The sequence below is a fragment of the Homo sapiens genome, chromosome 2, assembly GCF_000001405.40.
Source record: "Homo sapiens chromosome 2, GRCh38.p14 Primary Assembly".
Classification (NCBI taxonomy): Eukaryota; Metazoa; Chordata; class Mammalia; order Primates; family Hominidae; genus Homo; species Homo sapiens.
The window spans coordinates 23,773,998-23,789,278 of record NC_000002.12 but is presented as its reverse complement, the minus strand read 5'-3'; the positions used below and the strand labels follow the sequence as shown (position 1 = coordinate 23,789,278).

Genomic DNA, 15,281 nt, shown 5'->3' with positions numbered 1-15,281 from the left:
CACCTGGGGTCAAAGTCTGAGTAGGTAAACAGAAGAGGTGAGTAATCACCAAGTGGATGGAGCTGAAGGATATGAGAATAATTGGCTTAATTTTTTTGGAGTGTGTCATGGAGCATAAACTAGACTAGAGGTATAGTTTCTTTGCAGTGGAACCAGGATTCCAGAGATTACAGTGAAATAGACTTGGTAGGGAAAGAGCACAGTAAGGGAAGTCAATGGATAGGGAGTACAAAGAAATACGAGGATAAGAGATGGCAATGTTAACATTCTTCCAGCTGTACTATTATAGATTCGAAGTAATTACTTTTCCCCTCTTAATGTAAAAGCCTTTGAGATTGTTGCCATCTGTTACAACCAGCTATCCTTTTTGCTATTATCTGATGACTCTTACTAGATATGTAGTATCATTCATTAATGACTTGGGTAACTGGACATTCTTCCATTCCTGTTTAGCCCATGCGGTTGAACCCTTCAACAGCATAGCCTAGGACTAGGTTAACTATAACCCCATGTGAATGGTCTATGAATATTGAACATGATACTGGAAGATGAAGACATTGCAATTTGGTATGATATGTAAGCTTTTAATTCTTTATATATTTAATGTCTTTGTGTGTGTGTATATGTGTAGGTTAAATGTATCTTTAGAATACAGTATGAAGAGGTCTTGTATATTCAAAGGCCTATTGAAGAAGACAGAAGAAAATTTTTTCAAGAATTGATTCTCAATCAGGCATCAATGGCTCCACCACGAAGGAAACATGCTGGTAAAGTTTGTAAAGCCTTTAGGAAAATGGGAGGGATGGAGTTAAGAAATACCCTTTCTTGGAGTCAGTTTATTTTAGCCCTTTCTTCTTGGAAGTGAGGACAGTTTGTCAGGTTCTGTTTATCTTTAGATGACGTGTGGAAGTGTCCATTGTGTTCACCTGACTTGAGATTGGGAAGTATAGCCTTGTTAAAGCTTTGCTAAACAGGACTTCTTCTTATGACTTCAACCACATCCTGTGGTAGATGTCACATTATGGGGCTCAAAAAGTCATAGAAAAAAGTCTTCAGTTCTCCTCTGTTTTAGTCACAGTAAGTACCCAGGAGTTGAACTGGCAGGTTGTGAACACCAGGTGTTGTGCTCATTACTTTTTGGGCCATGATAGATTTGATGGGCTAATAGCTGCTTAGAACATTTGCCATTTCTAGTTTATTTATTGATTGACTTTTCAAATACTTATTTAGGACCCCTTACATTTAACGTTGTATTCTAGCCATTTGAAAATCTATCCTGCCTTTGTTTTAAGTGTTAGATTTTTCTTGGGTTTGGACTCAATAATTTTGGACTCAAGAATTGAGCTTAAGAGGTACCTCAAGAATTTCTCAGATTTCAGTTCCTTGACATAGTAAGGGCTGCATTCTAAGTCATTCAAAAGAGATTTTCTTTTCCTAATCTTAAAGATGTGTAAAGGATAAGATCTACCTGCTTAATCTTTCAGCCTCTTCTAGGAAGTAGCAATCCTGTTTGGTAAAAATTTTTAAGCCTCTTTACCCTTGTTCCATCTTTTATGTTTCTTAGAGCCCTTCTTGTAGGATACTCAATACATTTCCCATCCCTGCCAAGTCCTTATTTTTCCATATTCTTTTTACTTTGTTTGTTTTTCATTGGTTATATTATGTAACATTTTAATAATTTTATTGTTCTTTAGTGGCTCCTTTCCAAATTTTATTGGTGTTTTAAAAATGAACCCCTGTCAAATTGCTGTAGTTATGGTTTTTTCCCTCCCAAAACCTTGGGAAATTGAATATGTAAATTATACCTTATTTATGTTTATTTTGTTGCTTCCTGTTAATCTAAATATTTCATTATGAAAATGATTTATTTCAATCTTTCATGCTTCTAGATATATTTTAATCTCATAGATCTGAATTTTCTATGTTTACGATTGATATAATTCTTTTTCAGTTGCTTCTGTTGACTTTCACTTTTCATCTTAGGAGCTATTTAAAAATCAGTGAAAAATTCTTAGAATTTTAATTCTGAGCTGTAGTGTGATATCAGGGGAAATCTTTTAAAATTAGAGAACGTTGTAATTAGGAAAGTTAATACTTTACCTTTTAAGAAGATTTTTTGTTTTTCTTAGGATAGATAGTGAGTACCATGGATTTTACATATGACACTTAGGACTGGTTTTCCATCTCCTTCATGACTGTGGAATTCTTTTTTTAGTTCCTTTTTTTTTTTTTCCCTCCCTTCCTGCAGGTGCCATTCACTATCCGTACTCTGTTGTACTCAGAATACGAGGGCAGGAGACCTGCCTAAAATCAGAATTCTTTTGGGGATAGGAAGGTTCAAATATTACTTGCCCATTATACTTTTTATGCATTTAAGGTAATACCATTTTAAGAAGCAGTTTTTAAACAAGGTTGACTTAAGAAAATCAGTGTGTAATACTTTACTGGGAGATATTTGTGTTGAACTATTTCTCGTAAGTTATATATAAATAATATTTCAAAATCAAATTATTTTGTTTTTTAAAGGGGTCCTGTTGTGAGTTATTTTATAAAGTGAAGCTATTCCCTTTTTGTTTCTGTGCAAATTTTTACTTGCTGGATTTGCATGTTTCACACATATAGTCATGCGCTGCATAATGACGTTTTGGTCAACGATGGACTGCATATACGATGGTGGCCTCATAAAAGTATAATACTGTATTTTTACTATACCTTTTCTATGTTCAGATACAGAAATACGACTGTGCTACAGTTGCCTACAGTATTCAGTATAGTCACATGCTGTCCAGGTTTGTAGCCTAGGAGCAATAAGCTTTACCATATAGCCTAGGTATGTCATAGGCTATACCATCTAGGTTTGTGCAGGTATACTCTTATGATGTTCACACAATGACAAAATTGCCTAACTGCACATTTCTTAGAATGTATCCCTGTTGTTAAGCAACACATGACTGTATTTGTAATTCTTTTCTTTAAAGAACATTTTGAGAGAATGCCAAAAAAGGGTCCTGGCCCACGACGTTGGAATCTTAACATTTTCTTCTGTTTTCTCTAGCTCTTTGTGCTATGGAAGTGCTTCCTCTTGCACTACCTTCTCCACCTCGTCAATTATCAGAATCAGAAAAAAGTCGAATGGAGGACCAGGAGGAAAATACTTTAAGAGAGTTGCGGTTGTTTCTCAGGGATGTAACCAAGAGGCTGGCCACAGATAAACGCTTTAACATCTTCAGCAAACCGGTGGATATTGAAGAGGTCTTGTTTCAGTAGTGTGCAAACAGTGAAGTTGAACTGGCTAAAAGAAAAAAATATTGACATCTTTTTTTGGAAGGAAAAAAAAGCAAAGGCATGGATGAATATTACCCCTAGCCTATAAAATTTTAATCCATGTGATAACTACCGATGTCATCAGCAAACATCTGGTGACTTTTGGATGAAATTAGCGACCAATTTATATTGGCCTCTTAATTATTATTAACCTTTGTGGTCTCTTACTCTTCGATTTAAGAGGATTAAAGGTTGCCTTAGTCAAATATCCATACTAGATTATTTTTATTCCAGGATAAATTCTGCTGTCAAAGAGTATATTGGTATTAACCAATCAATACCAGTTAATACTGGCATTTCCCAAATTATGTATACCTCATCAAAAGAGGTAGCTAAAAACCTGAAATTTCTTTGTCTTTCATATTTTGGAAATGCCTGTGGCTGGGATGCTGTTTGAAGTTAAAACATATCCCGTGCAACTAAATTATTTTTCTTTCTAAGGATTTTCTCTGCTCCCAGTGGAAAATTTCTCACTTTATATGTGTATTATTTTGTGTGCTTGTGGGAGCATGGTTTGTGATGATGAGAAAAGAAATTTTCCATTTGGGAATCTAATACTATCAACTACATTTTTGGTTTTTGTTTTATCCTGGGATAATGTAGTGTGTGGATGAACACAATGTAATCTTTACTGGCCTCTTTCTTATAGTTCAGACTCCATGTTTGAACAGCTTTGGTGTTTTTAGTTTTTATTCATTTCTTTTTTTAAAAAAATGAATTATGGGTGATTCAGGGTTTAATGTTGTATCCTAATTGTGAAATCTGTGCTTTTGGACCTGAGCAGATACCTTTGAAACCATTACCTCATCTGTTACTAGGAAGAATGAGCTAGCATTTACATTCCTCCCCCCTGGCAAGTCTGAAAAGAAATACTTTCCCCCCTTTTTGGAATGAAGAGACTATCTATAATTTTATTTGTACCTTTATCCACAATACACTGTTTTTTCCATTTGATCCTCTTATCAACCTTGTAGGATCATTATTATTATTCTTACTTTGCAGTTGAGGAAACAGACTTGTTGGCAAGTGACATAGCCAAGACTTGAAAGTTTTTTAAAATTCAAAGCCCACATTCATTATCATAGCTACTTTATATCTTTCCACTGGGATAACAGGACATGCCTAATTGGCTTTTTAAATTAATAAATATCAGTTTATATTGCTGGGTCATCCCCCCCCCCATAGTGTTTTTAAATAATTTTAAAACTATCAGCCGATTAAAAAATTATTTTAAATAAATGTGATATGTGTGTGTGCCCTTTCTTCCACTCCCCTATTTGGTATATTTGGACTCTAACACTTCTTAAAGGATAGGGGCTTGCCCCCAACTCAACTTCCCATGCTGAGAGTAAACCAATTTTGCTTTTGCTCAGGAAAACTCTTTTCTTTCTAATCAAAGAAGATTTGTCAGATTTTCAAATGCCATCTGTAATAGTTTTATAAATGACGGTAAGGGGATAGAAAATGTTGGTCAGATAAATATTTTATTTAGGGTTGTATTTCTCTTCTTTTCTCCTTTATCTTTCTTCTTAGGTTCGTTCTGCTCTTAAGCTGAGAACATAGGAGTCTCTGGGAAGGATAGAGAGGGGAAAACAAGATAACCTAAAACAAAAGTTTTTATTTAACTAATGAATTTAAAATGTCTGAAAACTTTATCAAATTCCAAAGCAGACTGCAGAGAAAGCAAAACTTTAGAAAATAAATGTTAAATTTAAAATTAAGCATAGAGTGGTAACATTTATAGTCTTTAATAATATACATTTTATAGTGCTTTTTAGTTTATAAAACAGTTTCCACTTATACACAGGCATTTATGTCAAATACCAGAAGCAGGAATCCAGCTAATATCTTCTGAGGTAGTTTGTTTCAGTATAACTCTGCTACCTCCCTTATAGGGAGATTGACTGGTTTTTCAGTTCCTAAAAGGTGAAAAATAAAGCACACATACACTTCTACTTAATATTTTTTATAAGTAATCCTAAACATTAAAAAACATATAAATTACATATATGTGCGTGTGTGTGTGAATGTGTAAATTTAAAAATAATGGTATCGATGCCATCTGAAACTTCATAGAGCAGAACTTAACCATCTCCCCAGAAATCTTTCCTGGACTAATTTTAGACATTACTGCTAAGACTGCTGTTATAGCAAACCTATTTACTTGATTTGAGATTTGCATTGGGGAAGGCAGTAGATACATAAGTTGCTAACACTTTCTTGTTGGTCAGGGATACTCAATTTATTGGGCAAATCATGACGTAATATCTCCTGTTTAGGGTTATCTCACAGAAAATCAGCACAGAAAGCAGCATGTTTGTTTGTTTGTAGATTTCTTTATACTTAGGGACAAATCCAGCAGATCTCGTACTGGTTAGGAAAACTATACTTAATTTTCTTATATAATTGACTCTAAATGTTTGTGATGACTCCAAAGGAGTGGAAAATACTTTCCATGAAATAGTTCACTCTAGAAAACTGAAAAAGAAAATTTTTGTTGAAAATTTAAAGAGATTTATCAGAATAACTTATCTCATAGTATGAAAAGTCTTTGCTTTTTATTTTCCTTAATTTTTTTCCTGAAGTCATATTTATTGATGCTCATTGGGAACTTTTGCCCATACATTATCTTCCCGGATATGCCCGAAGGATTAAAAAAAAAAAAAAAAAGCTGACATGGTTTCAAATTTTAAGAACAGAAACATTTCAGAGTTGATTTAGGTATGACTTGGAAACTGAAGCTTTCATGGAAAGTATGACAGATAGTAACTTTGGTAGCATAAATAGCGCTGCAATTTTATCTTTATAAATTATTTATTTGATATTTAGATTTAATTTTTAAAGAACTTTGTTTTTATTTTGTGTTTTTATGAACTGAGATGATGTGAAAAACTGGAAGTAATTTTTATTAAAATATCTGTTTTAGGTTTCAGATTATCTTGAAGTAATCAAGGAACCAATGGACTTATCAACAGTAATAACTAAAATTGATAAACATAATTACCTGACTGCAAAGGATTTCCTGAAAGATATTGACCTCATCTGTAGCAATGCTTTAGAGTATAATCCAGATAAGGACCCAGGAGGTAAGGATGCATAGGGCAAGGTTCCCCTTGATAATCAATCAGAAGACAGTTTACCGTTTAAATACTAAGTCATGCCTGTGTTCTAGATAGATAATTTTCATGACCTGTTGTTTTTCAAAACTTCTCAATAAGAAGCTCATAGCCTACATAAAAATAATGTGTTTAAAGTAGAGAATTGTATAGTTGTAGGTATTATTTTCAGGGGTTTGTTTCTTCATTTACCTTCTACTTTTTATATTTACATTGTAATTTGAGAATTTAATTGAAAATATATTAGTCAACAATTGCAGGGCTGATAAAGATTCAGAATTTCGAATTCATGGAAATCCATAATAGGATCAGTTTATGTGTCAAAAGATCCTTTTATGTGGAATGTTATCTGTTCTTTATGTAGAATGTTATCTGTTCTTTTGATTGTTGGGATTTCTATGTAACTGTGTTATTTTACTCCTAATCCATCCTGTATTCAAGTGTATAGTCCCAACTTTTGTTATCGCTCTCCAGGGAAGACTGCCAGGAATATATCTGCAGTAAAACAAAATGAGGTGATTTATTATACTGAGGAAGAATATGTGTCATAGGGAACCATATAGGATTTGGACTTGCGTTAAGTGATTTTGGTTAGAGTATAAGGAAGTGGGGCTTTGCAGTGGATTAGATGCTGTTAGAAAGTAGGAATAATTTTAAGAACCTAGAAGGCAAGAAAATGGAGCAAGGCTAATAAAGCTGTGATTGATAAAGAAACAGAAGTTGGCTGGGTGTGGTGGCTTGCACCTGTAATCCCAGCACTTTGGGAGGCCGGGGTGAATGGATCACTTGACCTCAGGAGTTAGCAGGCCAGCCTGAGTAACATGGCAAAACCTCGCCTCTACAAAAAAATTACAAAAATTAGCTGTGTGTGGTGGTTGCGCACTTGTAGTCCTAGCTACTTGAGAGACTGAGGTGGGAGGCTCACTTGAGCCCTGGAGGTTGAGGCTGCAGTGAGCTGTGATCATGCCACTGTACTCCAGCCTGGGCAACATAGCGATAGCCTTTCTCAAAATAAAAAGGAAAGGAAAGAAAAGAAAGAAAGAAAAAAAAAGAAACAGCAGCCTTTCTCAAAATAAAAAGGAAAGACAAGAAAAAAAAAAAAGAAACAGCAGTCATTCATATTAGTCAGGATTATGTTTGGTCATTGGCTATTATTGTTTATTTTTATTTTTTTGAGATGGAATCTCCGTCTGTTGCCCCAGTTGGAGTACAGTGGCATGATCTCAGCTTACTGCAACCTCCGCCTCCTGGGTTCAAGTGATTCTCCTGGCTCAGCCTCCCGAGTAGCTGGGATTTCAGGCACCTGCCACCACGTCCAGCTAATTTTTGTATTTTTAGTAGAGATGGGGTTTCACCATGTTGGCTAGGCTGGTCTCAAACTTGTAATCTCAAGTGGTCTGCCAGCCTCGGTCTCCCAAAGTGCTGGGATTACAGGCCTGAGCCACTGTGCCCAGCCTGATTATTTATTTATTTATTTATTTATTTATTTATTTATTTATTTATTTTTTTGTGGTCAGGACAATGTTCATGTTTTGTCTGTGTTTAGACATGATTAGACAGAGTGGTTTAATTTTTCTCTTGACCCATCATGAGCACAGGGTGGCCTTGTCTGATACTGGTGTTCTGTGAAATTGTTTATGTTTAATTGTAGTACCTTGAGGCCTAGCTGATAGTGCCAGGCCAGCTCCTGGCTGTCAGGAGCCACTTTCTGTGAAATTGTTTATGTTTAATTGTAGTACGCCGAGGCCTAGCTGACAGTGCCAGGCCAACTCCTGGCTGTCAGGAGCCACTTTTCGCTTTTTCACTCTATTGAGAATTCTATTTATTTGATAGGTAATACTAAAAAAAAATGCTTCTTATTTTTAAAACATTCATTTAAGTTTTTGTTATCTAAAGATATTTAGAGTATAATTTGTGCTTTGTTTTGTTTTTTGTTTGAGACAGAGTCACTGTGTCACCCAGGCTGGAGTGCAGTGGCGCGATAGTGGTTCACTGTAACCTCCGCCTCCTGGATTCAAGTGATTCTTTCTCGTGCCTCACCCTCCCGAGTAGCTGGGACTACAGGCACGTGCCACTACGCCCAGCTAATTTTTGCATTTTTAGTAGAGATGGGGTTTCATCATGTTGGCCAGGCTGGTCTTAAAGTCCTGACCCCAGGTGATCTGCCCCTCTCGGCCTCCCAGAGTGCTGGGATTATAGGTGTGAGCCACCGCGCCTGGCCTGTGCTTTGTTTTGTATCTGTATTTTGAGGCAGTGGTTCTCAACCCAGGCCATATGGTAAAATGACCTAGATTTCTCAATTTCACATGAAATTAGATATTTTTTGCTTCAGTTTCAACCATAATAAATCACAGATTCTATAATTGCAAAAACTGCAGTTGTTTTGCATCAACCCAGTAATTTCCAAGTTAGGAGGCAGAATAAAATTTTGGATGGCTGGACTTCCTATGTAACAGTTTTTCAGCTTTATGTTATTTGCCTCTTATAGTTTTTGCTGTTTGTTTGCTTTACCTCTTTTTAAGTTATTTTATATAACACACACACACACACACACACACACACACACACACAAGTATATACTTTTTTTTTTGGAGACAGCATCTTGTTCTGTTGCTCAGGCTGGAGTGCAGCGGTGTGACCTCATCTCACTGCAACCTTTGTCTCCTGGGCTCAAGCAATCCTCCCACCCTAGCCTCCTGGTAGCTGGGTAATACAGGCACACGCCACCACACCTGGCTAATTTTTGTGTTTTTGTTTGTAGAGAAGAGGTCTCGCCATGTTGCCCAGGCTGGTCTCAAACTCCTGGGTTCAAGTGATCTGCCCACCTTGGCCTCCCAAAGTGCTGGTATTACCCATGTGAGCTAGTGCACCCAGCTTATATATATCTTATAGAAAAATATGCGAAAGTAGAACAAAGAAGAATATTAAAAACGTATTAATTCCATCACTTAGTGTTTTTTCTCTGTTTCCGTCCCCATCCACGGATATACTGTATGTAGAATATATACATGCATCTTAGTTTTACTAAAATGACTAGGATTTTTATAAATTTTGTCATTCCTATAATATTTTGTGAAAAGCTTATTAATTAATATATTTCTCCAACATTATTTTAATCATATGTAGATCTCATATAACAGCTAATACCCGATTGTTGGACATATTAGATTTTTTAGTTTTTTCCTCTTTTATAAACGCTGATAAATATCTTTGTAATGCAAATTTTATGTTGATTCTTAATTATTTCCTTAGAATAAGTTCCTTAAAGTGAAATTTCTGGATCAAAGAATATATATCTTTTAAGACTTTTAATCTGTACTATTAAAATTTTCTCTCAAAATTCTTAAAAATTATACCAGCAGCGGGCTGGGTGCAGTGGTTCATGCCTGTAATCCCAGCACTTTGGGAGGCCGAGGTGGGTGGATCACGAGGTCAGGAGATCGAGACCATCCTGGCTAACACAGTGAAACCCTGTCTCTACTAAAAATACAAAAAATTAGCGAGGCGTGGTGGTGGGCGCCTATAGTCACAGCTACTCAGGAGGCTGAGGCAGGGGAATAGCATGAACCCGGGAGGCGGAGCTTGCAGTGAGCTGAGATCACGCCACTGCACTCCAGCCTGGGAGACAGAGCGAGACTCTGTCTCAAAAAAAAAAAAAAAAAAAGAAAAGAAAAAAAAAATTATACCAACAGCATCAGGGTCACTGTTAGCCACTATAGCAATTTTTGGTAAGTAAGAGAACCTTCTTCAGTTGGATGCCATCCTGTAACAGGATGGATAGTAAAGCATGGGCTGGATGTCGGCCCCATTTCACTCCCTTCCCTTGCTGGGGTCCTATGTGAGGGTACAACCCGTACAACTGTATATGTAGTGGTTTTGAGCAGTGTGTGAGAGTGCTTGTGTGCCTATACCTTCAGCCTGGTTTTCAAGACGCAGAGACTGCTGTTATTGTGTAATATGTAATGAGAATATGGGCTTTGGATTCAGACCTAGGCTTTAGTCCCATTTCTCCTATTTCCTAGCTCTTTAACTTTGATCAAATTAAGCCTTCTGAATTTTAGTTTCCTCATCTGTAAAATGGGGATGATAACAACATTCTTAAATGGGATGGTTGTAAGAATTAAATGAGCAAGTGTATTAGGTTGAACCTTATGAAATTGCCATTTTCATATGGTTCATCCTAAATATCTTAAGCCTTTAGCAGAGTAGCTGGGACATGATAAGAGTTCCATAAAGGTTAGCTGTTTGTGTTTGTATTCTTATGATCATTATTTAAATTGTGCTTTAATTTTTTTATAAGTTGGTTTCTTAGTGGGTACCTGCATATTTGCTCTAGAATGACCCTTTATACTTTGTGCTTATTACATTCCCTGGACCATACTTTAAATGTAATTCTATTTTGAAACAAATCTAAGGGCTGGTAGTGAAAATGAATTTAAGTGCTTAGAAAAAGCCAGTTGAGAAGATCAATCCATATTTTTCCCTTCTCAGTAATTAATTATAACCACATTGATATTAATATTTTAAGGAAGAAGTAATGGTTTCTGGTGCATAATAATATTTTACTACAAAATGCAGTTCCACAATGAAAGAATATGGCTCTGCTTTCTTCACTTGTTCTGATACAAAAAGTGATATTGTTCAAATGCATTATTTTGGCTGTGTTTAGATTTTTTTCATATCTTTCATCAAGCAACCTCTTTTTTTTTTCTTAGCAACAGAACCACTTGTTATGTTCCAGAAAAACATCCTCAGGGTGTGTTGTGTAGCAAGTGGAAATTACATGAATGTTGTATTACGTTTACAAGTTCCCATGAGTATTTGGAAGCTTACAGTGTTCTCTTTTACAGAACACTTGGCCATTTGGGGAAAAAACTAACATATACATAGAAGACAAAAGCCAACATTTTGAAAGATATACACGTTGCCTAAGTGTTGACCCAGATTGTCTCCCTTGAGGATGATGGGAACAGAAATTAAATGATGGGAACAAGAAGAAATTGACCTGTGTTCTAAATGTGACCAGTATCAGATATTTGGCCCTAATTACTACAGTATAGATACATGATATATTATGTTTGGCTCATCCCCATTCTCGGTCTTGCAGTTCACCCCTCCTATATCCCCCAGGCCTATTCATATGCTATATACCATCATTTGACTAGTTTTGCTGAAATTTTCGCCCTAATGTTTTAGTTGTCTCAAAATCTTCTATGTTGTTCAAATTGTATAGGATTAAAGCCCCCAGATTCACCCAAACTTTTGGAGCCCTCTGTGTTTTGCTCTTAATACATTTCTAAATTTATCTGCCACAGTTGTATTTCATGAGTTGTTTCAACCAAACTCACTCATTTTTCTGTTAGTGTTTATGAGTACTATCTGCTAATTACTGAGCTGGGTGCCTAGACTACAAAGATGACTCTGACAATTCTTGCCTTTTGAGACCAAGATATAGATATAGATATAGATATAGATATAGATATAGATATATCAGTATTATGATAGATCCATAATGCCTACCGGATAACTACTATGTGGCAGGCATTATTCTATATGTAATTGTATTAGTTTACTAGTGCTACCATAACAAAATGTAACAGAAATTAATTTTCTCACAGTTCTAGAGGTTATCAATTCAAAATAAAAGTGTCAGCAGGTTGGTTTCTCCTGAGGCCTCTTTTCTTGGCTTGCAGATGGTGGCCTCCTTCTCTCTGTGTCCTCACATGGCCTTTTCCCTATGCTTGTGTGCCCTTGGTGTTTCTTGGTGTGTCCAAATTTTCTCTCCTTGTAAGGACATCAGTCAGATTGGATTAGAACCCACCCATATGTCCTCATTTTAATTATCTTTTTAAAGGCCTTGTCTCCAAATACAGTCATATTTTAAGGTACTGGGAGTTAAGCCTTCCACATATAAATTTAGAGGAGATGCATTTCAGCCTGTAACAGTTATATGAAACACAATCCCTACTATATAGAAAGTCATCAATTTTTAGAGATGATAAATACACTTATCAAATTATTGGTGATTATAATAACAAATATTATTAAGATAAAGGGATACCATAGAGGTGGCAATCATGAATAATGTCTTAAGGTGCCAGCAGATGATTATAAGACAGTGTCATAAGGTCTTATTAGAAATACGTTACCTGGTTAGTGGAGCACAGAGGAGAAGACACTACCTGGAGATTAGCAAGATTGGGAAGGGCATTGACTCTAGGCTGAGGAAACAGAGGTATGAAAAAAACAAGTCTGGAGAATAGAGTGCCTCTGTGGAGGAGTAGTGGGAAACTAATTTGCTTCTCTACTCACTGACTCAACGTTTATTGAGCATCTTTTTGTTAAATATTCTCTGTGTATAAATCCTGTTTAAGGCTAGAGATACACAGATGGTTAAGACACAGCCTTGACCTCTTAGTATCAAATTTGGGGTAGAGGTCAAGGCAGTTGTAAGATGGAGGTTGGAACATCAGTTAAGATTTAATTGCAGTGGCTGCAGGGATTAAATATAGAGGTCTTAGTGACCAACCATTTAAATATGGTGGACAAAAACCTAGAATGATCCCTGAGGTTTTGGTCTGGTTAGAGGAATCTGGGAAGGTAAACCAATGGAGGAACAGATTTATGGGCAGGATGTCAAATTCAATTTGGGACATGTTAGTATGAGTCATATTTGGTAAACCCAGACAAAATGCAGACTTTATTTATTTATTTATTTATTTTTGAGACGGAGTCTTGCTCTGTTGCCAGGCTGGAGTACAGTGGCGTGATCTCGGCTCACTGCAACCTCCGTCTCTCGGGTTCATGCGATTCTCCTGCCTCAGCCTCCCCAGTAGCTGGGATTACAGGCGTGTACCATCACACCCAGCTAATTTTTGTATTTTTAATAGAGATGGGGTTTCACCATGTTGGCCAGGATGGTCTCGATCTCTTGACCTTGTGATCTGCCTGCCTTGGCTTCCCAAAGTGCTGGATTACTAGTTGTATATGTGGTTCTGGAGGTTGAAAGAAGTGGGCAGGAGATATGGTTGGGAGTCATCATCGTAGAGGAGTGAATGAGATTTCATAGACAGTGTGTAGAATGAGAAGAGAGAGGAGCCCAGGAGGGCCCCTTTTCTAGGAAATATGGGTCCCAGTTCTTGCCCAGTGTAAGTCCCAGTCTTACTGTTTCAGGACCCTTGTCAAATGTATCGCCTCTACTGGGAGTATTTACATGTTTTTCTTTTTAAATCAGTTTTATTGAGATATAAGCAACATACAAGAAAATGTACTTTTTAATAGCATGTAGCTTTTAAAATCACATATCGTTTTAAAATTTCACCTACCCGGCTGGGCACGGTGGCTCACGCCTGTAATCCTAGCACTTTGAGAGGCCAAGGCGGGCGGATCACGAGGGCAAGAGATCGAGACCATCCTGGCTAACATGGTGAAACCCCATCTCTACTAAAAATACAAAAATTAGCTGGGCATGGTGGTGTGCGCCTGTATTCCCAGCTACTTGGGAGGCTGAGGCAGGAGAATCGCTTGAACCTAGGAGGTGGAAGTGCAGTGAGCTGAGATCATGCCACTGCACGCCAGCCTGGAGACAGAGCAAGACAACGTCTCAAAAAAAAAAATAAAACATAAAAAAATAAAATAAAATTTACCTACCCTTCAGGGAATACTAAAATGCTAAGTTCATGAAAGATTTTTCTGATTTCCTTCCAGTTGTAAGTACCCCTTCATCTCTGAATCTCATAATGTAACTTTTCTGAGACATTTATTACTTTTTTGCCCATAGTTATTTGTTTACTTATCCTCATCCTTTATTTTAGACTCGAAGCTGATTGAGAACAGGATCTGTATAGGCATCTTGTGTAAAGCATGTTCTTAATAAATGTGGCCGATGAGTAAATTTTATTTATTATTCTATTTTTATTTTATTTACTTATTTATTTTCAGACAGGGTTTTGCTCTTGTTGCCCAGGCTGGAGCACAATGGCACGATCTCAGCTCACTGCAATCCCCGCCTCCCGGGTTCAAGCGATTCTCCTGCCTCAGCCTCCTGAGTAGCTGGGATTATAGGCATGCGCCACCATGTCCGGCTAATTTTTGTATTTTTAGTAGAGACGGGGTTTCACCATGTTGGTCAGGCTGGTCTTGAACTCCTGTCCTCAGGTGATCCACCCGCCTCAGCCTCCCAAACTGTTGGGATTACAGGTGTGAGCCACTGTGCCTAGCCTCTATTTTTAGATACTAACTCAAGGAATCTCAGATTAAGTAGAAATTATAAAATGGAGACATGGTAACATTCTGTAGAAATATGCATAAATACTAATAATATATAAATATGACCTGAACCAGTAAATATAGTTAAAATGTTTTTCTGTTTTTTGTTTTCTTTGGAGACAAGGTCTCATGCTGTTGCCTGGACCTGAGTACAGTGGCATGATCATGGCTCACTGCAGCCTTGACCTCCTGGGCACCAGTGATCCTCCCACCTCAGCCTCCCGAGTAGCTAGGACTACAGCTACAGGACTTACAACCATGCCTGGTTAATTTTAAAATTTTTTGTAGAGATGGGATCTTGCTAGGTTGACTATGCTGGTCTCAAACTCTTCAAGTGATCCTCTTGCTGCATCCTTCCAAAGTGTTGAGATTACAGGTGTGAACCACCATGCCCAGCCAAATTTCTTATTTATGAAATTATTTGGGATGAAAAATCATACCATAAAAATGAGCTTTTCTTAAAAATATGGTTACTCTTAATAATTTTGTTGAACAAAATCTCAGCTAATATACTTCTGGGATTTTTTTTTCTTCATAATGAACTAAAAGTAAAAGTTTACCAATTACAAAAGA

General features: G+C 36.8%; 1 protein-coding gene across 19 annotated transcripts in view, besides 1 other annotated feature; it reads left to right on the top strand.

Moving 5' to 3' along the window:
• ATAD2B (ATPase family AAA domain containing 2B) overlaps positions 1-15,281 on the top strand; it is a 249,155-nt gene that overhangs the window by 137,845 nt on the left and 96,029 nt on the right. For 8 of the 19 annotated variants that reach the window (XR_001738780.3, XM_006712030.5, XM_011532920.4 and 5 more), the window contains 3 exons: positions 632-767; positions 3,056-3,252; positions 6,251-6,410. Coding sequence is in view for 16 of the 19 variants with exons in the window: in XM_006712030.5 (XP_006712093.1) it covers positions 632-767; positions 3,056-3,252; positions 6,251-6,410 (493 nt within the window). In the remaining 3 variants the exon portion in view is untranslated. Of the gene's footprint in view, positions 1-631; positions 768-3,055; positions 5,970-6,250; positions 6,411-11,290; positions 11,700-15,281 lie in introns of those variants that run through there. The other 11 variants (NR_125717.2, XM_047444799.1, XM_011532919.4 and 8 more) reach the window with 5 other exon arrangements.
• Positions 865-914: an enhancer, noted in NCBI's record as "active region_15415". NCBI's record gives its function as "activates an Ori minimal core promoter by ATAC-STARR-seq in GM12878 lymphoblastoid cells {active_cell/tissue: GM12878}" and the evidence as "EXISTENCE:reporter gene assay evidence [ECO:0000049][PMID:35858748]".